Source organism: Homo sapiens, chromosome 13, assembly GCF_000001405.40.
Source record: "Homo sapiens chromosome 13, GRCh38.p14 Primary Assembly".
Lineage (NCBI taxonomy): Eukaryota > Metazoa > Chordata > Mammalia > Primates > Hominidae > Homo > Homo sapiens.
Genome location: NC_000013.11, coordinates 96,955,658 through 96,981,211, shown reverse-complemented (window position 1 = coordinate 96,981,211; position 25,554 = coordinate 96,955,658). Strand labels below are relative to the sequence as shown.

The following is a 25,554-nucleotide window of genomic DNA, read 5'->3' as shown; positions in this document are numbered from 1 at the left end:
AATATTTTTACTTTAGTCAGTTGTCCTTTAAGAAAATTACAGTAAGAAAAAAATAGTCTTCTATAGTTTCCTACTTATTTACCAATACCATGCTTGTCATTTCTTCCTAAAGATAAGAGTGTTCATCTGATATCATTTTCCTCCAAACAAAAAACATTCTTTAGCATTTATTACAATGAAGGTGTGCTGAAGAGAAAGTTTCTAAGCATGTATTTATCTGAAAATATCATAATTTAACTTTTTTAAGAAAGATGTTTTCACTGAACGTAGAAATGCCACTGGATGAAGGATTGCCACTTTTAATTTTAGCACTTCAGAGATGTTCCATTATCTTTTCATTTCTACTTCTTCTGATAAAAAGTTCGCTGTAAGTCATATCATTGTTTCCTGTATGTAATATGTTTCTTTATCCTCTGGTTCTTTTAAGATTTTCTCTTTCTTGCTGTTTTAAAGCAATTTGGCTATTCTGTGCCTAGGTGTAATTTTCTTTGTATTTATAATGCTTAGGAATTATTAATATTCTTTAATCTTATAATGTACTCTTTTTTCATCAAATTCAGAAAATTTTAAGCATTATTTTTTCAAATATGTATTCTGCTCCATCTTCACTCTTCTTCTTATGAAACTCCAGTTACACGTATGTCACACAGCTCAATATTGTTGCACTGGTCACTGAGACTTCATTCATGTCTTTTCAATCTTATGACACTCTATTCTTCAGATCTATTTAAAGTTAATTGTTTCTTCTATTATCTCCAATTTACTGTTAAGCTCAATGAGTAAACTTTACATTTCAGTTATTTTATTTCTTGGTTCTATAATTTCTTTTTTTTATTATACTTTCAGTTCTGGGATACATTTGCAGAATGTGCAGGTTTGTTACATAGGCATACACGTGCCATGGTGGTTTGCTGCACCCATCAACCCATCATCTACATTAGGTATTTCTGTTAATGCTATCCTTCCCCTAGCTCCCTACCCCTCTACCCCCTGACAGGCCCCAGTGTGTGATTTTCCCCTCCCTGTGACCATGTGTTCTCATTGATCAACTCCCACTTATGAGTGAAAGTTTGTGGTGTATGGTTTTCTGCTTCTGTGTTAGTTTGCTGAGAATGATGGTTTTCAGCTTCATCCATGTCCCTGCCAAGGACATGAACTCCTCCTTTTTTATGGCTGCATAGTATTCCATGGTGTATATGTGCCACATTTTCTTTATCCAGACTATCAATGATGGGCATTTGGGTTGGTTCCAAGTCTTTGCTATTGTGAACAGTGCTGCAGTAAACATACGTGTGCATATGTCTTTATAGCAGCATGATTCATAATCCTTTGGGTATATACCCAGTAATGGGATTGCTGGGTCAAATGGTGTTTCTAGTTCTAGATCCCTAAGGAATTGCCACATTGTCTTCCACAATGGTTGAACTAATTTACACTCTCAATAACAGTGTAAAAGCATTCCTATTTCTCCACATCCTCTCCAGCATCTGTTGTTTCCTGACTTTTTAGTGATCGCCATTCTAACTGGCATGAGATGGTATCTCATTATGGTTTTGATTTGCATTTCTGTAATGACCAGTGATGATGAGCTTTTTTTTCATAAATTTCTTGGCCACAGAAATGTCTTCTTTTGAGAAGTGCCTGTTCATATCCTTCACCCACTTGTTGATGGGGCTGTTTATTTTTTTTTATAAATTTGTTTAAGTTATTTGTAGATTCTGGATATTAGCCCTTTTTCAGATGGATAGATTGCAAAAATTTTCTCCCATTCTGTAGGTTGTCTGTTCACTCTGATGATAGTTTCTTTTGCTGTGCAGAACTCTTTAGTTTAATTAGATCCCATTTGTCTATTTTGGCTTTTGTTGCCATTGCTTTTAGTGTTTTAGTCATGAAGACTTTGCCCATGCCTATGTCCTAAATGGTATTCCTAGGTTTTCTTCTAGGGCTTTTATGGTTTTAGGTCTTAAGTCTAAGTCTTTAATCCATCTTGAGTTAATTTTTGTATAAGGTGTAATGATTTTTAATCCCACTTCTCTGTTGGAGTTTCCTTCTTCACTAAACTGTGTTTTTCTTTTAACTGTAAACATACCAAAATAGCTGCTTTCACATTTTTACCTATTAAATCCAGCATTTGGTTTTATTACTTTCCTATTGCTGCTATAACAAATTACCACAAATATAGTGACCTAAAACAACACAATTTTATTCTCTTTCAGAAGTCAGAAGTCTTAAATCAATTTCACATGGCTAAAGTCAAGGAGTTGGTAGACCTGCATTACCTCTGGAGGCACTGGAGGTGACTCCATTTCCTTGCATTTTCCAGCTGCTAGAGACCACCTGCATTCTTTAGCTCATGGTCCCTTCACCTATCTTCAGAGCCGGTAGCATGGCATTTTAAAATCTCTCTGACCTCCACTTCTAATTGAACATCTCTCTCTGATGCTGATTCTTCAGTTTTTATTTTGTTGTAACTCCCGTGATTACACTGGGCCCACCCAGATAATCCAAAATAATCTCCTCATCTCAAAACCCATAACTTAATTACATCTGCAAAGTCTTTTTTGCCATGTAACATAACATGTTCATAGGTTCCAGGGATTAGAATGTGGACATTTTGAGAAGGTTAGTATTCAGTGTACCACAGTCGGTCACTTTAAAGTCATTTTCTAATGATTTTTTTCCCCTTAGCTATGGCACATGTTTTTCTGTTTCATGTATCTACCAACTTTTTACTGATATTATAAATAAATCATTGTAGAGATTCTATTACTATCTTGAAGACTTGGGTTTTTTTTCCTAGTAGACAGATAAATTACTTGCTAATCACCTTGAAACTGTGTTGGCTTAGTTTTGTGATTTTTAGGAACATATTTTGTGAGAAGTCCAAGATGTTTACCAAGCTCTTCTAATACAGTAAGACCCAATTACCAAATTCAATTTCTCCTGTGGTCTTGCTTAGACTTGGTTTTAGCCTTTTTTTTTCCCCAAAGAATCTAGATTAGGGCTTACTCTGGAGCATGGTCTTTGCTTTCTGCTGCCTCAGCTAGATGAGTTAGTAAGATGGTAATGAGATAGTTTTTCCTTGGTGTCGGCTAGAACTCCAATGTTCTTGATCATTGCTTAATCACTGCTATCTCTGTTCCCGTAGCTTCTTTCTGATTAGCCTTAAGTCGTCTCTCCCTGCAAACACAGCCCTTGGCAGAGAAATCAGAGAATTTTTCCCTCTTCTGACCATGCTTCCCTCTGCCTTGGTGCCCTGCTTTAAATCTTTCAGACACTTCATGTTGAACACCGACCTCTGCCTCCTCAGCTCAAAGGGACCATTGTCTTCTGTTTCTATTCCAGATTTTTGTGCTGTGGTCAGGAAATTATGCCAGACCATGAGCCAGAGAGGTGGGATGATTGTAGGGCTCACAATATTGCTCTATCTATCATCCCATGCCTGGAAACATTTGATTAATGTATTTGATCTAGTTTCATTGTTACCAGTGGGAGAGGCTCTCCCTTATATTCCACTGTGATCTATTCCAGGTGAGGGAGCAGAAGCTATGTGGAATGCCTCCTGCCTTTCCCATTAATGCTGTTTACTATTTATCCTTCTAAAGTGTGAGATACTTCAATTTAAATATGGCAGTTTAACCATGACTCTTCTCCCCTAAAATGATACTAAAATAATAATGGTAATATTGATATGAACAGGAGGCAGGAGAGCAGGGTCGCTGTCAAGGGCTCCACCCTTAAGCTTGGACCCATGGCCCTAAATGAGAACAAGCATTCCCATTTTCATGTCCAAATGTTTCTTTTTCCAAAGCCACCGTGGCCTTCCATGGCCCCCAGTCCTGTAGCCATACAAATCCCAAACCCCCAGCTCCATGAGTAGAAGAGCAGAAAGGCAACAGAGCAACACAGCAGAGAAGAGGAGAAGAGAGGAGCATCTTAACATTGAGGGGGTTGGAGAGGAGATTGACCACCAAATGGTCAAACTCATGGGGAAGATCATCCTCCCACTCCATCCCCTTTCCAGCTCCCCATCCATCCCACTGAGAGCCACCCCCATCACTTAATAAAATCCCACGTTCACCATCCTTCAAGTCCATGTGACCTGATTCTTCCTGGATGCCAGATAAGCACCTGACTACCACAAGGGCAGAGTTTAAAAGGCTGTCACCCTGACTCTCCACTGAGCTGGTTTAACACTTGGCTGTCCATGGATGGCAACTACTAAGAGAACATTAATTGTAACACACCCTAGATGCTACTGTAGGGCCGGAACCCAAAAGCACTTGCCCTGGCTCCTGCGCCTGCCCATCTGCATGCTCCCCGTCCCTTAAGTGGTTGGAGCATGTGGCAGCTGAGCAAACAAGCCACAACCCTGTCATAAGTCCCACAAGGGGGTCAGGGAACTCTCCCATTTCAATGTAACTGTAAAGATATTGAAAGCTAAAAGCTTACAGATAAATGGTGAAACAAAAGGGACCCAAAGCTGGTAGTGGAGAGAACCCAGAGACAGAGTAGTACATTCTGCTTAACTCCAAAATGTTCAGGAATTAGGGCTGCCAGTTACGTCTGAAAGAGGATTATCAGTAAACCTAACAATAGGAAGTTTCATGTAAAGCCTGAACAAAAAGCAATTACGCCCCTAGATATCATCCCTTTTCCTGTGCAAACCAATAATTACCTCTCTTCTACACCAGGAGAATTCTTGGCTTTTCATTCTGGAGTGGTTGAAAGAAGGAGCAGAAAGATTCTTGACCTGAGGACAATACATATAGTCAAAGGAACGGTAAAAGTGAGGTCCTAAATTTTGGATAGAAACACTTGGCTCTGATAACAGTGGCAGCTCATACTTACCTTTCCTGCCAGAATATTGTAGCATTCTTCTCTAGGGAAATGGAAACTACAGCAATGATAGATACAACTTATATAGCACTAGTGATGTGTTGGGCTGTGTTTTAACTGCTCTCTTTATGAATGCACAGTCTGACTCCAGAGCCCATGTATAGAACCACTACACTATGCTGCTTTTCACAAAAAGAGAAACTATTTAGATACCAACAGTTGAGGAACAGCTCAGCCTGCCCACCCCACAATGGCACCCACCAGTTGACCTGCCTTACCAACTCAGCTTCTTAGTGCCATACTCTTAAATATCAGCATGGACAGTCATGAATAACACAGCAACTGGGAAAAGTCAACAACAGGAATCAGAGACTCCAAAATGATCAGACAAGAAAAATTAAAAAGAAAGCACTCAGAGAAACAAAAACCCTGTAGGAAACATAAGAAAATTTCAAAAAACCAACAAGACTCTCAGAGACATCCTTAAAACAGACCAGGAGGCTCTAAAAGAATGAATTTTAAAGAACAAAAAAGAGCTCTTAGTTATCAAGCCATGGTAGTTCAGTGGGGTTATTTCTAATGCCCTCCACTAACTGCCTACAACATGAGGTTTGCACCAGGGAACTGGGGGGTACTCCTGGCATCCCCTTTCCATTTATTTTAACTGTTTGATATTTAGAAGAAAGTCTTAGAGGCTAGTACTATGAGGCCAGAATTATTTGCTGATTTTAGTTCAAGTGAAGCATTCTTTCATTTTTATTTTATATGCATTTCAGAGGTTTTAGAGGAGATTTTTTTTAAAGTGCACCTAAACCACTTGGTTTCTTAGAGTTGCTATATGTCTTCTTTCTTATTCTGTCTCTGCATATTATATGACATATGAATATATTTTCTATGATTACATAGTAACAATTTGTTTTCCATAGTTTAGAAATATTCCTATAGCCTGAACACATTGTTTTTCTTTCTGAAAATGCTTGCTAATACTACATTAATGCTTGTAAATAATTTTTATTAATCACAATAGCCTCCACAAACATTTGAAAAATGAAACACAGATGCAGAAAATATTATTTATTTAGTATATTTATTTGTTGAGCACAGAAACTTATAAAACAGAGGAATGCATAACTTATGTGTTTAGGATCACAATATCAGCTTAACGTCTATTTGAGTAAACTAACACCAGCATCTTTTGAACCCCGACTATGTGCAAAGTACTGTGCTATACCCTTGAGATATAAATCTTAATAATGAAACAGTACTACTTTCAAAAATACCACATTCTTGGAAACTAACTGCATTATTCATATGTGCCTTTTAGGTTGAGTGTTTGTTATGCTACATTTACTTATCAAAAGTCAGTGAAATGTTTGTCTAGTTCTTTTTGCCATTACCAGTTATCATTATCTATTTGTATTTTAAGGAGTGCACCCAAAGGATGCATTTCAGGAACTTATGTAGCTATCTAAATCTCTCTCACCAACAACCCTAAAGTGTATTCTAAGTATACACAAATATCCTGGGGTGCTAATTGTACCTGGCTAAATGCCCCATTTATCTGTTTAAACCCTCTAGGAGATGAACAGTAAGACAGTATTTGGTATTACATACTTAATATTATCTCATTATCAGAGGCAACACTGTAAACATATGAATCTTACACCAAGAAAGCCAAAAAATCTACATATGCACCATAAGAGATGGTCAAACAACAAGCCATCTTTTTCCCAAACATTTTCTGATTTACATAGTCTGTCAAAAAGTTTAAATAACAGTGCTTTTTTTAAAATTTAAATTCAGGGGTAAAGCCAGACAGCATTCATATTAAAAAATTAAAACAAGTCCAATATTAAATCCCCTATTCAAGTTTTAACCATTTGTGAAAGCACTGATAAAGTTCAGTTTTTGTGGCTCTTGCTCTAACTGCTTAGCTCAGAGTGGGCAGTTCCATCTTTTGTTGTTTGTATTCTTGAAGCACTTGGGCAATTTATCATACAGGACTTGGATTATCACTCTTCTATGTCAATGTGTTTTTTTTTTCCTTGCGAGATTATGAACTTCTCCAACACATGGTCACATATTTATGTGTGGTCCCAGCACCCAATAATACACTAGAAGTTATGACACAGAACAACAGCAAAAAATGAGCCTCTTTTAGAATGAGAAATATCTGCCTTTTAAATCCCAATTCTTACCTGACCAATAGCTGAGTACAGAAAATTCACGCCTAAATTGAATCTTTGTATTGCCTTTGATGATGAGAGAAAAGACTTATGTTTCTGGTAACATGTTAGATTAAATCCATTGCACAACCTGTCAGTTGAAAACAATGAAAATGGCTAAGTAAAATCTTCTCATAAACCCCTATAAAAATGCTCACTGAGCTAAGAAACTAAAGAATCCACAAAGGGAAAAAATAAATATAAAGGTGAGAAATCTGGAAGTCAGTAGGCAGTAAAAGCACCAATTTTCCCAATAGTCTCTTCAAAATCCTGGTGGGTTTTTCACCTACATCTTGATATCTGTGTTGGGATGTGTAGGATGATCATACACCCTGGTTTTCCCAGGATAGTACTAGTTAATGCCAGTTGCCCTGGTATAATTATTAATAGTACCTACTTCTATCCTCAAAAGCGTCTGGAATGATATATAGTCACACTAAACATGGGAGAAAGGACATGAGGTATGCAATTCAACAAAGGTGGGGATTGTAATAGTAGACTCTTGCAAAACTCTGAATGTCAATAGGCCATGTTCTCCACGTTAGGGTGAACAATAAATAAGGTTGGGGAAGAGAAGGGGGCAGCATGTAAAATAACCGGCATTGACTTTGACACTGGGTAGAGGGAAAATAAATTTGCCCCTGAGAAATCATAGTCAGCATCAAGCTTACATGTCAACTTGTTGTTACTTGCATGTTAAAAATTGAAGCTTGAATGGGGAATTAATTTTAAAGTGATTTCCAGATGGGCAATACCACCAGGCAACTGGCAGAAGCATACGGAAATCTCTTTAAGAGATCACAAATTTAACACAGGTCTCAAAGGGCTCCTATTGGTTAAGTTTCCAAGTATAGTGAGAAACTCACATTAAAAAGGAAATCACAAGAAATGCCAAGAAAAAGGCACAGTGAGAATTAGAATTAGAACCTCAAAGATTTCACAGATGAGAAAGATCTGAAACTGATTGTAAAATAGGAAGTTTATTTTATTTCAAAAAATAAAAGAGAGGCTTGAAATGAGCAATGAAAATGAGACTATTAAGAATGACTAAACTTTAAAAGAAACAGACTTCTAAAAATAACAAGTATAATAAATTAAAATTTAAAAAAATAATGGATTGGTAAAACAGAAGATTAGATACAGCAAAGAGAGAATTAATGAACTGGAAGCAAGATCCAAAAACACTATCTGGAATACAACCCAAAGGAAAAAGAAACAAGAAAATGAAAAATATGAATGCTAAACCTGCAGTAGAGAGCGAGAAGATCCAATATATATGTGAGAAGATTTTCAGAAAAAGAAAAGAATGGAGGAAAAAGCAACATTTGAAGAGAGATTGGCTGATAATTTTCGAGAATTTTTGAAAGCTCCTAAGCCCCCATGTTGTAAGTCCAATGTATACAGGCAGGGTAAATCAAAACAGATTGACAACTAGACACATCAGATGAAACTGCAGATGATCAAAGATATATCAGAAAGTCAGCCAGAGAGAAATGAAAAATCTCCTACAGAGAAGGATCTGTAAGACTGAAAGCTGACTTTTTTCCTTTTTTAAAAATTTTATTTTATTTTACTTTAAGTTCTGGTATACATGTCCAGAACATGCGGGTTTGTTACATAGGTAAATGTGTGCCATGCTGGTTTGCTGCATCTATCAACCTGTCACCTAGGTATTAAGCCCCACATGCATCAGCCATTTGTCCTCATGTTCTCACCTCACTCCCTGCTCCCTAACAGGCCTCAGTGTGTGTTGTTCCCCTCCCCTCCCTGTGTCCATGTGTTCTCATTGTTCAACTCCCACTTATGAGTGAGAACACGCAGTGTTTGCTTTTCTGTTCCTGTGTTAGTTTGCTGAGGATGATGGCTTCCAGCTTCATCCGTGTCCCTGCAAAGGACATGATCTCAAAATTGCAAAATATAAATCATAATCACAAAAATATAAGTCATAAAAAAGTGAAATATTATCTTTAGTATGTTGAAAGAAAATAGTTGTTTACCAAGAATTCCATATCTAGAAAAAGTAGCTTTTGAAAATAAAGGGGAAATGATGACCTTTAGAGGTAAAGAAGAGATAAAATGTTCACCACTGAAAGACTTTCACAAAAGAAAATTCTAAGGAATGTGCTTCAGGAAGAAGGGCAATCATGTCAAATGGATGGTCTTAGAGACAAGAAGAAATAGTGAGTGCAGGGATGGTTGTAATTGTTACAGGTAGTAAGACAGGCATAAGTGGGGCAGGAGAGGGCTCCCCCCAGCCACCCACCAGGAATGTCAGGTGATCATCAGTTGATGGTTCAGGAGTTATCATATTGCCTCTCTAAAAGTGATAACTTAGCAGCCAGCACCAGGGAGAGACAATCTTCTGATGGCCCACAGCTGTCACACTAAAGTGTTAATTGAACACAGGCACCAGGGAGAGGCAACTTTCCAAACAGAGAAAACACTTCCTCAACACGGTGTGCATGCTCACCAAGCATAAAGAGGGCACTATGCATGCAGGCAGCCCAGCCTAAGGGAAGCATCATGGGAAAGGGGCACAAGAAGCCAGAGGTGGGCCAGAACATAAAGTCCTAGGATCAAGGTTAAGCACTGCATTTTCCCTTCCAGTTTCCCTCCTGAGTTTCCTCCAGGTGTACTTTCCTTTCTTTCCTGCTCTAAAGCTTTTTAATAAACTCCTTTAAATAAGCTTTTTAATAACTCCTGCTCTGATACTTGCCTCAGTTTTCTTTTCTGCCTTATGCCCCTCAGTTGAATTCTTTCTTCTGAGGAGGCAAGAATTGTGGCTGGTGCACACACGTACAGATTTGCTGCCAAGTAACTCAGATACCTTCTACCCCTAACATAATGATCTAGGTAAAGCTAAACAAAATTGACTGTGTAAAACAATAATTATAATGTCTAGTTTGCGGCTTTAAGAAACAAGGCAAAACCTAAACACTGAGAACTATTGATATGGCTCCGATGACTGAAAAAACACCAGGGTCCTTTGCCTTGTGATGATTTAGATAAAATGACACAGACACAAGTAGAGTGGTTTTAAGGAGCAGAGAGCTTAACAGGAAAGAAAGAAGAAAGAAGCTCTCCAGTACAGAGACAGAGGGAAGGGGGCTCTAAGCCAAGAGAGGAAACCCTGAGTGTGGCAGAAAACAGTCAATTATATTAGGAGGCTGGAGGAGGCAGTGTCTGATTTGCATAGGGCCCAGCGGATTGGTTTGACCAGGTATGTCATTCACATAGCCTGCAAAAAAACTGGCCATCCCACCCTAGCCTTTTAATATGCAAATGCAGGGCACCATGATGTCCTGCACATGTGGGGTTATCTGGGGGTGGCTATGACCCTCAGCAGATGGGGTTACAAGGAGAAGAGGGAGGGAATCACCATAGTGGATGGACCCAGTTTCTTATGGCCAGCATTTGCATATCAAAGCCTGCCAGCCTGGCCCTTCCAACTGCTTTTCTGCTAGACAAGAAATGTTTCTGGAGCTGCTTTAAAAGAAAGAAAACCTTTCCAAGGACCCCTTATCCACTCTATCTGCCTAAAATAATTTCTTAATAACTCCTATAATATTTCCCCCGGAGGAGATGTCATCCTCACTACTGTTAGGGGGCTTTGGGCCACAACTCTTTCTGGCTACTTCCTGCCGCAAACGGGCGTCCAGTGGGAACAGCAGCTAGGGCTCCTCCTGGGGTCGATCTAAGGGTCCTTGGCAGAATGTTATGTCCATAGGTGGTTCTGTTTGCAGCCCCATTTGGCGTTTGATTGCTTCTAGACAAGATGAAACAATTCGAGTTATAGTATTGAGTATACAAGGTCCAAATATTAATGCAAGGCATATAAGCAAGAGGGGGCTTAATAAAAGAGCTAAACAATTCCATAAAGAAGACTGGAATTCATTTAACAGCCACTCGGGGCTGAAGCCTGCATTTTCTCTTAGCCTGTCAATAATTTTGATGTGATGCATTTTCTCTTAGCCTGTCAATAATTTTGATTTGATCTTTAAGTACCTGTAGATTTTCCTCTACTTTACTAGAGGTGTTAATCCAGAAGCAGCATGTTTAATTTAAAAGTGCACAGGTGCCTCCTACTTCAGCTGTAAGGACATCTTAGGCCCATCTATTTTGTGCTACTACTGAGGCTAAAGAGTCTATACATTGTTGTTGTGTGTCTATGGCACCTACAATTGCCTTCCATCCTCACTGCGTCATAATGGAGATATTAAGTACTGATCTTTCAAAGAGAGGGATGCTCGTAAACCGGAATAGACCTCTGGCTATGGAATTTTCCATCCATGGTTTTTCCAAGATGGGATTGTCATATGCATGCCCTCCTCAGTCTGCCCTTTCAGTTAAATCTACATATTAGGGTATAGATATGATAGCACTCTTTGTCCGGCATATTAGAGATAGTGTAGTTTCTAGAAAAGAGCCTAAGTTAGTGATGCCCCCAGATGATGCTGCCTTCTCAGTAGAACTTAAACATAGTAAGTGGGAAACTACTGCTCCTATAGTACAGGTTCCCTTCCAACGCCTTGGGAGGATTAGGAGTCCAGGAGCCACACAAAAAAATATAGCCCCATTCCCTGTAGGGACGATCCTAAGTTGTGCCTTGTGAGAGACACCAGCAGATTTTTCTCATATCTTAGAAGTTTCCCTTCTTTACATGTAATAGGGGCATCCTTGGGATCAGGACATCCATATTTAAGATAGTCATTTACAATGCCGTTTGGAATTTGACAAGCCAAGTGAGAAGGGTCCACCTGACAAATGAAGTTTTGAAAAATTAGAGACATAATATGCCCTGACCAATATCTCAGATGATCCTTGTGGCAAGGGCCGTTAGTCCAGATGTCTCCAGTTTGCCCACAGATCTGTAAGCAGCTACTATTAGCAAACATCATACAAGGGTCTGGAATTCCATGAGGGGGCATGTTTGGAAAGGTCCCTGTGTCATTCTTTACATTATAGTCAAGATGGTTGCTTAGAGCATGCTACTCCCATCGGGACTTCCAACCAGAAGGAAAGACTAGATTCTGAAAGCTCCCCACTAGGCCTTCTGATCCTTTTAGATCACCCTTGTTGCACTCTCCTCCTCCACATCTTTGAACTATCAGCAATTGCAAGTGTGATGTTACAATATCTGAGATCTCCTAAGTATGGCCCTTTCTCACTGCTTTTTAAGCAGAGGGAGGCATTATGCAATCAACTTTTCCCAGCCTGAGGGTGTGGGGAGAGTGTTCTTTGGCACTGGGGGCAGAGTGTTCTCCTGAGAGGAGTTAGTTACACAGTTGAAAGTGCTCCCATACCATGTCCCATCAGGTATCTCCTGCAGAGCTAAGAGTGAAGTGGGGAGAGTAGGATATACTGGAGATAACAGAGCTGGAGTAGCTGACGGTACAATTGGAGGGGGACTGGAAGGGTTATGACATTCAATAGCTGTCTTAGATTGCTCCTCTGGAACCTCCTTCAGCTCTGGGGAACTATTCCCTGTGGGCTTGCCTGCCATGGCTGCTAAAAGAACTGGGTTGATTGTACAGAGCTTGTAAAGGTCTGGGCTGTCTCACAGGGCAAAGGCAGTCTGCACATACTGGACCTCAATCCATTTGCCCTTCTGCCTGCAGAAAAGATCCAACTGTTGGATAATATTAAAATCAAGGCTTCCCCCAACGGGCTAGGTTTGTCTGTCCCCAAGACGGTAAGAAGGCCGTGCCCTTCTGCAATACAATATGAAGGGCTTTTTCTTCAAAGTCTCAGAATCGAAGGAGTCCCAGTGCTTTAAAATACACTCCAGGAGAGTGCATGCTGGACAATCTGTTACCCATGTAGAAAGAGAAGTGAGAATAAAGGTGTCCTTTTAGTCTCCTTGCTTTCTGTGTGTGAGCCAGGGTGGAGAAGAAAACAGTGGGGGTGTCCCCCCAATTATTCCTGGGTCCTGGCACCCTGTTAAATATGCTGCCCATGACTGTAGGTGTGATCCTCTAAGCCACAGCACCAGAGGAACTAGACTTTTGAGACCTAGTCACGCTTACTCAAGTAGTCCTAGTCCTCTGCCTATTATTTCCCTTTGACCTCATAGACTTGTGTGACCTGTGTGCCTCCCTAAAAATAAAATGGATCTCAGGAAAAACTTTATAATTGGACAAGGCCCCTTTAATGGCAAGGCATGCTAGATTGAACTCTATATCCTGCTATTATGGCCCATGCTAAAGCATTTACCCTTAGAAAAATGGTTCCAGTTAACTTCTGGACTTAAAATGCCCTTACTAGTTAAGTACTGTCTTAATCGGAGACAGAATAGGTACCTTGAAGGAACGCAGGAACCTAATGGCGGTTTTCCTGCTGAAGGGACGATATCGAGACTAAAATTTGCCTACGGAAGACATTTAACTCCTAACTGTTGAGAGTAGAATTTTCCCGTTCATGGAAGAGGCTTAGAGCCTGATTTCCAGTGGTGCAAAAGGAAGCTCATGTTACCATAAAAAAAAAAAATAAAATAGCCTCATAGCCTCATGAAGAGGATTTCTATTTCCAGTAGGTGGCGATGTTGGCTTAGAAATACTATGTGCTCGCCAGGGTGGGGGTGGGGCGTGGCGGCGGGGGAGTCAGGGGAGGTAGGGGGAGAGAGAGCGAGAGAGAGACTGTGGGTAAGGGGAACAGAAGATTGGAACAGCATTCCTGAGCTACACTCCCGGTTACTAAATTCCCACACATTTGACACAGAGAGAGTAAGAGACTGCAGATAGGAAAAGGAAGGAGCGTTTTGGGACAGGATAGCTGGGGAATCTCTGCCAATACCCGAAATGGGCTGTTGGAGGCTAGGTTCGGTCTAGAGGCCTTTGGGTAACGCCAGGGGGTGCCCTGGCCAGAAATTCTCAGTTGCCTCAGAACTTTTTCCAGCCATGGTGAGGTTTTCCCACAAAAGGAAACTGATTCAAAACATGGCCAACATTCCTAATGACCTGTGGGTATTTGGGGGTTCTCCATGTTCTCACCAGCAAGTCTGTCATCTGAGTCTTTAGAACAGCAGACACGATCAGCCTATTTAACCAGCTGATGGATGCCCATTGATTGATTTGATTTGATTTTAAAATAGAGGCTAAGATCACCTCAGAATGATAAAACAGATTTTAAGCTCACTCCCATACTTACCACGCTGTACCTTGGTTTCCCAGCCAATGCACTAAAATGATATGGCTCTGATGACTGGAGGAACACCAGGGTCGTTTGCCTCGTGGTGATTTAGATAAAATGACACAGACACACGTGGGATGGTTTTAAGGAGTGGAGAGTTTAATAGGCAAAAAAGAAGAAAGAAGCTCCCCCGTACAGAGACATAGGGAAGGGTGCTCCACGCTGAGAGAGGAAACTCCGAGAGGTGCAAAACAGTCAGTTATATTAGGAGGCTGGAGAAAGTGACGTCTGATTTGCATAGGGCCCAGGGGATTGGTTTGACCAGGTATGTCATTCACGTAGCCCACAAAAAAACTGGCCCTCCCACCCTTGCCTTTTAATAAGCAGGGTGCCATGATGTCCTGCAAAGTGAGGTTATCTGGGGGCGGCCATGATGCTTAGTACACAGGGTGACAAGGAGAAGAGGGCGGTAATTGCCATATTGGATGGACCCAGTTTCTAACGGCTGGTATTTGCATATTAAAGCTTGCTGGCCTGGCCCTTCAAGCCACTTTTCTACTAGACAAGAAACATTTCTGGAGCTGGTTTAAAAGAAAAAAAACCTAACCAAGGACCCCTTAAACTCTGTATCTGCCTAAAACAATTTCTTAATAACTCCTATAATACTATTAGCATTTACTTTGGGAGAAGTGATATTGTAATTAATACAGCAAGATCTTTACATTTGGGAAGAGAGTAGACACATTGACTAACTTTGGCTGTGTTAAATTTCAATGTGAGAACATCAAGGAAAAAAATCTCAAAAAATAAATTTAAAGAATTTAAAATCTAAGGCAATGGAAGGAAAATATGGAACAAGAAAAAGAGAGCATAGGAGGAGTAGCACAGAAGACATAGGTAAGTTAGTGTCAATATTATTTATCTTTAATTGGGTTAATAGATCACAAGTGTTTATTGTCTTAATAAACAAGCAAAGAAATAAATTAGGCAAAGGAAGACTTTGCATAGACCAGTGATGAGAATCTGTCATGAACCAAGGAGTATTATTAATCTAATTCTGTTTACCTGAGAGTTTTAAAAGATGAATAAATACATAAATGAATGAATAAATAAATATCAATTAACCCAAATGAAATCAAGAAAGAGGAGGGAAACAGAAGCATAAGAAACAAACAGAAGCCATAAAATAAGATAGAAGAATAAATACAAATATGTCAGTAATCACAATAAATGTAAAAACACTAAATGTTCCAGTTAAAAAATAAAGACTTTCAGACTACACCAAAAGTAGTATAATGTGTGCTCTTTTAAAGAGACAAATATAGAGTATAGACACATTGGTAGATTTTTGTCTGTAGATTTTAAGACACATTTAAAACAACTTACTAACTTATGAATAAATTTAAAAAATGGAACAGAGCTATAAGAAAGAAAGAAATAGAATTAGAAATTTCAGATATTCCAGTTAAGAAACACTAAGTCTATATGAACATGCAAGTAACTTCTATCAAAGATGCAAAAAGAGTCAAATTTCAGTTTTCCATAAAATATTATGAATGGAAACATGGATAATAGGCTAGCTTTTAACAAAAGCTGGAAAAAGAACAGTAGAAGGAAGAAAAACTTACGAGTTTTTATTGTATTACATACAATAAAATAAACACATTTTTAGGCACTGATGTAAAAAGTCCTAAAAAAGAAAAAAAGAAAAACTAAATCAATAATGCATTTTTAGCAGAAAACAATACAACATACCTAAAATGAGTTTTCAATTTCAGGAATGTAAGATTGGTTAAATATTAAAATCAATTTATGTAATTCCCCTTATTCATGAACTAAACAAGAAAACAATATAAGCTTCTTAATAAATAGGAAAATATTAATAAATTTGACATACACATTTGATACAAACTCTTAGCAAACTAGAAATAGAAGAGAACCTCCTTAGCCTACCTATCTACCAAGGAACCTCTAATAAATATAGTACTTAATTGTAAATCATCAACAGCCTTTCCTTAATATCAGAAACAAAATGACGATGTTCACTATTGTTATTTTTATTCAATGTTGTACAGAATTCCCTATCTTGGGGTCAGCAAACTGTGGCCCGTTAACCCAATCTAGTTTACTCTCTGTTGTTATATGGCCCACGAACTAAATGATTTTTTCATTTTTAAATGGTTGGAAAACAATCAAAAGAATATTTTTGACACATGAAAATTATACAACATTTAAATTTAACTGTCCATCAGTGATGTTTTATTTCCTTACGTATCATCTATTTTGATACTATAACTACAGACTTGTATACCTGCAACAGATACTGTATGGACCACAAAGCCTATCAGGCCCCTTACAGGAAGAGCTTGAAGACCATTGCTTTCGTTGGCAGAAAGACAACAAATTAATTAGTTAAAAAGTTAGTTTTGCTTTGGTATAGTTTACATACAATAAAATTAATCAACTTTAAATGTACCATTAATTGTGTTTTGAAAAATATACACAGCTGTGTAGTCAGCACCACAATCATGATATAGAACATTTTTTATCAGTCTAAAAAGTTCTACGTGCTCTTTTTCTGTGAGTTCTCTTCCCTCACATCCAGTCCCTGAGGATCTCTGATCTGTTCTCTTCATTTTCTAAAATTTTCTATAATGGTATACTGTGTCATCTTGTTTTTGAACTTCTTCCACTTAGCATAAAGCTTTAGAGATTTGTCAATTTTTTTTTTTTTTTGCTGTGTCAGTGATTCTTTCCTTTTTGTTGATGATTAGTATTCCATTTGTGCAGAAATGACTGAATTTATTTATACATTTCACCATATGAAGGGAACAGGTAGTTTCCACTTTTTGGCTGTTATACATAAATCTTCTATAAATATTTGAGTGCAAATCTTTGTGTGACTATATATTTTCCTTAGGGTAAATACCTAGAGATAAAATTGCTGGTTCACATGGTAAAGGTGTGTTTAGTTTTATTAGAAGCTGCCAAACTGCTTTCCAAGGTGGCTGTGCAATTTTCCATTCTCAACAGCAATGAATAAGCATTCTAGTTGCTTCATTCCTTTGCCAGCAGGTGGTACTGTAATTTTTTTTAAATGTTGCCATTCCAGTGGGTGTGTAGTGATAGCACGTTGTTGTAATTTGCATTTACCTGATGACTAAAAATGCTGCATCTTTTTTATATGCACATTGGCAATTTGTGTATCTTCTTTTGTAAAGTTTGCCTAATTATAAAGGGGTTATCTGTCTTTTATTATTGAATCTTAAGTATTCTTTATATATTATGGATATAAGTCTTTTATTAGATATATAGTTTGCAAATATTTCCTCCCAGTTTGTAACTTGATATTTCATTTGTCTAAAAATGTCTTTTAAAGAGCAAAAGGTTTTAATTTTGATAAAGTTCAGTTGATAGTATAGTTTGTGCTTTTTCTTCCCTGTAAGAAATCTCTTTGCCTAGTCAATGGTCACAAATATTTTCCACTGTTTTCTTCTAGAAATCTTACAGTTTTAGCTTTTACATTTAATTACATTTAATCAGCTCTTACATTTAATTATCGATTTTGGGTTGATTTTTTGCATGGTGTGAGGTAAGTGTCAAAGGCCCTTATTTGGCATATGGATATCAAATTGTTACCGCAACAATTTACATTATTTGTTTATCACTGAATTACCTAGTCATTTTTGTGAAAACTTAATGGTCTATAAGGGTCTATTTATTTATTTATAATGTATTTATTAACTGTCTATTCTGTTCTATTATTTAATACATCTATTTTTAGTCTAACATCACACTCACTACTGTAGTAATGAGTAGTGAGTGCGATGTAGTATGGTAAGTCATGAAATTACTTCACATCTTCCAGGTTTGTTCTTCTTTTTATAATTTGTTTTGAATAGTCTATGTCCTTTGGCTCTCCATATACATATTAGAATCATTTTATTAATTTCTCCAAAGAATGTGCTGACATTTTGGCTGAGATTGCATTTAACCAACAGGTCAAGTGAGAAGGAACAGTACTCTAGCAATATTTAGTCTTCCGACCCACAAACATGGTGTATCTTTCCATTTATTCAGGAATTCTTTAATTTCTTTCAGAAACTTTTTTGTAGTTTTCAGGATCCATGTCTATTACTCTATCCTGCCCAGAAATTGAAATGGCGAAAGTATAAGGCTGAAAGGCAGAAAAAAAATACAAAAGTTGTAAGACAGAAATAGCCAAGACATGTCGAAGAACATAATTGGGTGGAGGTAATCAAGCTCTACTACACAGTTATGTGAATTTACAACCGTGCAGTGTTGGTATGGGGTTATGAAAATTAAACATTGCGAGGTAGTGGGAAGCCTAGGAGCTGATCCTCATGGATTTGGAAATTCGATTTATGATAGAGTAGTCACTGCAGGTATGTGTGGAAAGAATTGCTTACCAATAAATAGTGCTGGAAAGGCTGACCATTCATATGGAAATATAGATTCCCATATCACAGCTTTTACACAATTAATTCTCAGAGGATTGATAACCTAAATGGAACTACGTAGTACTGATAAGAATATAAACTCTAAAACTTTGGTGTCTCAACACAATAAAAATTTATTATTCGTTTTTCTGAATCAGTGTAGGTGTTCCTGGTCAGAAGGTAGCTTTTGTCCACACAATGATTCGGGGACCCAAACTCCTTTCGACTCGTGGCTCCTCCACTGCCCAGCACCTCAGATGCTTCTTTTTCATCACCCTCTTCTTCTGTTCCAATGGCAATCACTGGTCCCTGTTCTCTCCATTGGTCCAGTTGTAGATATTTATTATATGGCTATTTAGGGACTAAAAGACAATTTATGTGGCTACTGTCCCCAACCTCAAAACATAAAGAAAAAGCAGATTAAAGATAACTGCAATATAAAATATCCTTCAGAAAAGAATAGGAGACAATAGTCAAATGAACTTCAAAATCCTGCCATATAGGCATTAGGAAGACTACGTTCCCTAGCTACAGAGGAAGTTCCTTGATGAGACTCAAGTCCGTTCTCTAGGAGAAACTTCCTTTCCGCACTTCTCCACTCTCTCAGAGATTCTTATTTTTTCTCCTCTAAGGCAGTTTCAAGATTTCAGCAAGCATCAGAATCACCTGGAGGGCTTACAGCACACATGGCTGGGCCCTATCCCTAGAGTTTGTTATTCAGTAAGTCTGGGTAATGTGCATTTCTAACATTTTCCTGATTGATTGTGATGCTGCTGGCCTGGGGACTACATGTGGAGAGCCCCACTGCCTAAGAACCCATCTGAAATGAGCTTTGAGGGGTCTGCCCTCCTTGAGAGGGCTGGATCTTCACTGCCAGCTTCTTGCTGGGGCCGGTTTATTGGAGGCATGACTATTTTATAATCACAGGCTTTTTAAAGCCAGATTGCAGTTTATTCAACAATATAATTCCCATGGACACAGTAGACTTCTCATCTATTCAATTTCAGTAAATCCCATGTATGAATAACTACATTCATTCTTCCCTCGACATAATTCTCAATCTGATTTATGTCTTTGCTTTTTGCTCCCTGTATCCCACCATTGGCTTTCTCAATGTAATGGCAGATACCTTGAGGCCATCTCATAAAATAACCTTGAATTGGAAAGAAACAACCTTAATTTGATCTTTGCCACAAGGCCTAATCCTTTTGTGTAACTGAGAATTCCTAATGAGTCTTTCTTGCTCTAAATATTTTTTCATTCTAATTTTTAAATCATGGTTTACGGTACAGAAATAGCTTTGCCAATCCTTGAATCACTAAATTTCTGGACTTTCTCCACTCCTTTCTATCTCTGCTCTCAAGACAACCACTTCTTGCTTGGACGCATCTTTTTCTTTATATACCTTGAGATAAGAGTGAGTAGAAACCAACACATGGTAACATTTTTAGCTCTTTGCAACTACTTCCTGTAGAGCTACATATCTACGAGGCATTTGATCTGCTTTCAGAATTACAGCAGGCACCATTTTATGCTACTGCATAACAGAGATCTCCATATTTCTGTCTTGCTTTATCTTTTTCCTTGCTTTCTATCACCCATCCACTATGTCAATGCCACATATTTTAGAATTTGTTAAGGTAGCTTTCCACTTGTAGGTACCAATTTCCACATTGGTTAGGGTAATACTACGTGATGAAATAAAATAGCCAAAAATTTAGTGGCTAACACAATAGAAATCCTTTTTTTTTTTTTTTTTTTTTTTTTTGCTCAACTGGCTGCTGAATATGCGTGTTCCTGGTTGGCAGGTGTCTTAGGTAAGGCTGCTGCAATAAACTACCATGGACTGGGTGGCTTATGAATGACAGAAATTTACTTCTCACAGTTTTGGAGACTGGAAGCCTGCAATCAGGGTGCCAGCATGGTCGAGTTCTGGTGAAGACCTGCTTCTTAGTTCATAGAAAGTTATCTTCTTGCTGTTCTTTCTGGGGTCCCTTTTATCAGGGCACTAATCCCATTCAAGAGGGCTCTGCCCTCATGACCTAATCACTTTCCAAAGTCCCCACTTCTTAATATCATTGTATTGAGAGTTAGGATTTAAAATATAAATTTCGGAGGAACACAAACATTCAGTTTATAGTAGTGGGCTATTTACCTACACATAGTCATTCTAGCATCTATGTTCCTTCCACTTGTGGCTTCATCAGATCCCAGGATCCCAGAGTAATTGCATTTTTGTGGATGGGGAAGGAGATAATTTATCACTTCTTATATGAGCATGACATCACGTCTACTCATATTCCATTAACAAGAACTAGTCACATGATCCCATCTAGATGCAAACAAGGGTTAACCAATCACTGACTGAGCAGCTTCTTCCTGACAATTCTATCTTCTGAAGAGAATAAGCACAAGGACTTGGTGGACAGTTAGCCTGCTTTACCACAGACCCAAAAGGGTGCAGTAACACTTTAGATGACATAGGACACTATTCTAAGAATCTAGGAGAAAAAGGATTTTTTAAACAAGCCACCAACCACATAAACCACAAACAAATTATTGATAAATTCAACTCCATGAAAACATTAAGAACTTCTATTCACCAAAATATACCATAAGGAGAGCAAAAAGACAAGCCTCAAACCAGGAGAAGATATTTGCAATATAAACCCCTGACTTTACATATCTAGAAGATATAAAGGACTTACAAATGAATAAAAAGACAAATGGTTCAGTAGAAACTATAGGTAAAAATATATCGATACATACATGAAAAGTTGCTTAAACTCATTAGAATTCAGGGACACGCAAGATTGAGCTACAGAGAACTGCCATTTCATGTCTATCAGGTTGGTACATATTTAAAAGCTGGATAATATGAAGTATTTCTGAGGCAGTGTGGTGCAGTAAACACTTTTTACAGAGCTGTTAGGAAAGAACATTTACACGCCAATTTGGAAAACAGTTTGGCATTACCTCATAAAGGTAGTGGGTACAAGGGTATTTATTTTCTCATTATTCTTTTAAGCTATGCACACACATACACACAACACATATATAATTTATTCCACAGTATAAATATTTAAAACAATAATCTTTTGAGAATATGACATCAGAATTGTAGAAAAGGTGATTTGAAGTCATGCTGTAACCGCACTGGGCCTATTCTGTAACGCTTGATACCTCTTCTTCATTCTAGTTTCATATTTAGAACTGTTCCTTCCTCCCATCATCATATAAGTAATGGATAGCATAGCTTCTTAGATTAATATGAAAGAGCAGTTCCAAACCAATCCACCTGATCATCTTAATCTTCCGAGGGTTGATGAATAAGGGGGCGAGAGTGCCACGCCAAGATCTCTTTTCCATCTCACCCCCCAGTCCTCTGGAGGAAGCACACCTTCTGTTTATGTCAAAAGGGTTAATTAACAAGAGTTGGTGTCACTTCCAATAATTACTAGGAATTAAAATTTACAGAAGGCACAACAAGGGCCTGGCAGCTGTACCAAAATAAATCTGCCTCTGATCATGCAGCCGCAGCTGTTACATCTCAGAACATATTTTCCAAATCACCTTGGCTTTTTCAAAGCCCAAGCATGAGTATGACCAGATTCCCACAGAGTTCCTTGGACTTGAAAACAGGAAGATGGGCCCCACAAAACAGCATATGGATCTACCCTCTGGCCTTCAAAATTGAGGGGACTCATTTTCCTTTTTTCGGAGGACTGAATTTCAAGCGTTTGCTGCAGCAGCCAGAATTTAAGGCCATACATAAACTCTTCTCTTTTAACTTTCAAATGGAAATAATGAATTATTATAATAAACTGTAATATGTAGCCTAAATGAGACAGATCCTCAAGCACAGATAAATAGTTTGAAAAATAAAGTAGAGGTTTACACCTATCTTTGTGCAACATGAGGTGAAGTCATCCTAGAATCCCTTAGCATCCTAACGGCCCTCCAGAAACCACTTTCAATGTTAAATTGAGAGCACAACCACTCCTTAAAAATCCTTAGGCAAAATTTTGCTTCCTAATCATACATCACCTTGACGCCAATGCCTGAAACAAAACAACCACTAGAGGGCAGAGAACCTTATTAGAAATAAAAGTGCCTCAAAGAATGGAAAGCTTGAAATGCCTTCTCAGCCATATATATTAATTGCTGCGAAAGACAACATGAGGGTGGGTTGTTTATAAAATCTCTTTCTATAAAACCTGAGTCTTCCAACAAATATGAACCAAACTGGCAAAATTAGTGAATGTACATATTTTTTTTTCACTGATGAGCTGCAGTTCCTAACCTACCTTATAATTCAATTAACCCACAGATAACTGTTTTAAAATTTTTTCCATCCATTAGAGTCCTTTGTAAAAAGAAAAGTAGTATCCATTAAAGACTGCATGTTAGAAAAACAACACCTTCCTAATTTATTCTTAGAAAAGATTCGAAGGGAACCCTAAACCCAAAGAGATGGTGGGATATAGTGTGTGGAGATTTCATTTGGGAAAATCAGGATCCTGTTTTAGGAATCCTAATTTGCCCTGGGCTTGTTGGGATATAAGGTAATGACCATGTGGCTAGCTAATTCTTCAACTGGTTGATTTCTGGCTTTTGTTTGCATTGACACAGGCGGTTGTTATTGGTGGTGATGTTCATCTTGTGTTTCTGTGTGTCTTTCTCTCCAGAATGAAAGAAATGTTTTTCAGCTTTAGGGTCCTGCTTCATGACAAAAAGGAATTTCTAGGTCGTGCTACAACTTCCCTTGCCAACAGCATTCCTTCTGTGTCTGCTGAGGTACAAAATATCTCCATATAACCAAAATCCCTGTGAGCTACAAGCTAACTCAAATAAGCATTGATGCATAAAGAAAAAATAACCTACCCTGAGGCTGCACCTGCCTAGTAAAGAATGGAGCAGAGTATGTGGGCTGAAAAGGAGATGCTTAGGGAAGTTTTTATTTATCCCAACTGGCAATCATTAGTTTCAAATCTGTGGGAAGAATGGAAGTCAGGAGATAAATTGTGCAAAAAGAGTAAAAAAGAAAATCTTATGGGTTATTTGGTTAAATGGAGCTTGTGGAAGATTAGAAAAACAAATGAAAATGAAAAATGAACCAAAGGAGATACCCTATTCTAATTGAGTGCATGTGGAAAAAAATTTCCACATGGAAACTGCTGTTATGTTGTCTTTGAGAATAGGAACATGGATGAAGTGCAGTTGGAAGCTTTTGAATGGAACCCTCATCTTCAGAATAGATCAAAGAATTCCGTAAAAACTCATGTAAAATCCCCTTGGATGTCAGAGGGATCTCAAGTAAGCAGAATCCACAATGATTAAGTTTCCTTCTAAAAAGCAGTATGTGTGCTTAATTCACTACTTGGCTTGGAGTGTACTGCAGTGGAGACATTTTATTTAGAAGTAAGTGAGAAAAGCTGTTAAACATATAATAATGATAATGGTAATGATTATGATGTTGGTGACAATGAGAACAAACTCCTTGTAGTGCTTGGTTGTAAGCACTTCCCATATATTAACTCATTTAGCCCTTATAATAACTCTATGAATTAGAAATTATTATCTTGATGTCCATATTATGGAAGGAACTGAATTGAACTACAGGGAGATTAGAGGACTCACCCAAGGTCACATATATAGTAAATGGTGGAAGGGGAGCTGAAACTCAAGCAAGTCTGTTTCAGGGGCTACACTTTTAACCATTGGTTAAGCTGCTTTTCTACACAATAAAAAATGCTTTGTTCACATTTTTCTTAGTACTTATTGTTGTGTGAGTAAAATGTAGAAATCTGTAAACCCATGTAGTTCAGGTGTCCCAGCCCAGCTGACTTGGATCCCTACGCAGATTAAGAAGTATGCCTCATGTATGGTGAACATTAAATCGATGCTGACTTCTTGTTATCTGTACACATTATCATCCAGATTGTGTATTTTAAAATATACAGTAGTACCACAGATATTTCATTTTAAGGAAACAAATCTACTTATGACAATGTTAAATGGAAATCCATGTGATATGGTTTGGTTCTGTGTCCCCACGAAAATCTCTTGTTGAACTGTAATCTCCAATGTTAGAGGTGGGGCCTGTTGGGAGGTTTGGATCATTAGGGTGATTTCTCATTGCTTAACACATTCTGTTGGCGCTGTCATCACAATAGTAAGTTGTCATGAGATCTAGTGTGCAGCACCTCCTCCTTCTTTCTTCCTCCTGCTCTGGTTATGTGAAGTGCACTCTCCCTTTGCCTCCTGCCATGATTGTAAGGTTCCTGAGGCATCCCCAGAAGCCAAGCTGATGCTGCCATGCTTCCTGTACAACCTGTGGAACTGTGAGCCAATTAAACCTCTTCTCTTTATAAATTACCCTGTCTTAGGTATTTCTTTATAGCAATAAGAGAACTTACTAATACACCATGTTAAAAGGGAATCCTCCACAATTTTGCAGATTCTTGTCACCTGGAAGGAGTTGTTTGGAGTAATGTAAAGAAGGCAAGTTCAGCCACTGGTGTCGCCTACTCAACACCTCATCTCCTCCTTTATTATCTCCTCCTCATTCCCACTTTTTCCTCTTTCTTTTCTAGACCTGTCCTAACACTGAAGGATCATAAAAAATTTGCTTTCACCAAGAAGTTCAGAAACTTTAACATGGCTGATGTGATAAAGTGTTGGGTCTTTCTCTGAAGGTAAGTTTTCCTCCCATTAATCATTTTAAAATAGAACATAGGCCGGGCATGGTGGCTAACGCCTGTAATCCCAACACCTTGGGAGGCTGAGGCGGGAGGATCACTTGAGGTCAGGAGTTCGAGACCAGCCTGGCCAACATGGTGAAACCTCGTCTCTACTAAAAAAATGCAAAAAATTAGCCTGGCATGATGGCACACGCCTGT

General features: G+C 38.4%; 1 long non-coding RNA gene across 1 annotated transcript in view; it reads left to right on the top strand.

The window, feature by feature from the left end:
- LINC00359 (long intergenic non-protein coding RNA 359) overlaps positions 1–25,554 on the top strand; it is a 42,892-nt gene that overhangs the window by 2,961 nt on the left and 14,377 nt on the right. Inside the window, exon 2 of the long non-coding RNA NR_051966.1 lies at positions 25,249–25,350. This is a non-coding gene — a long non-coding RNA (long intergenic non-protein coding RNA 359). The remainder of the gene's footprint in view (positions 1–25,248; positions 25,351–25,554) is intronic.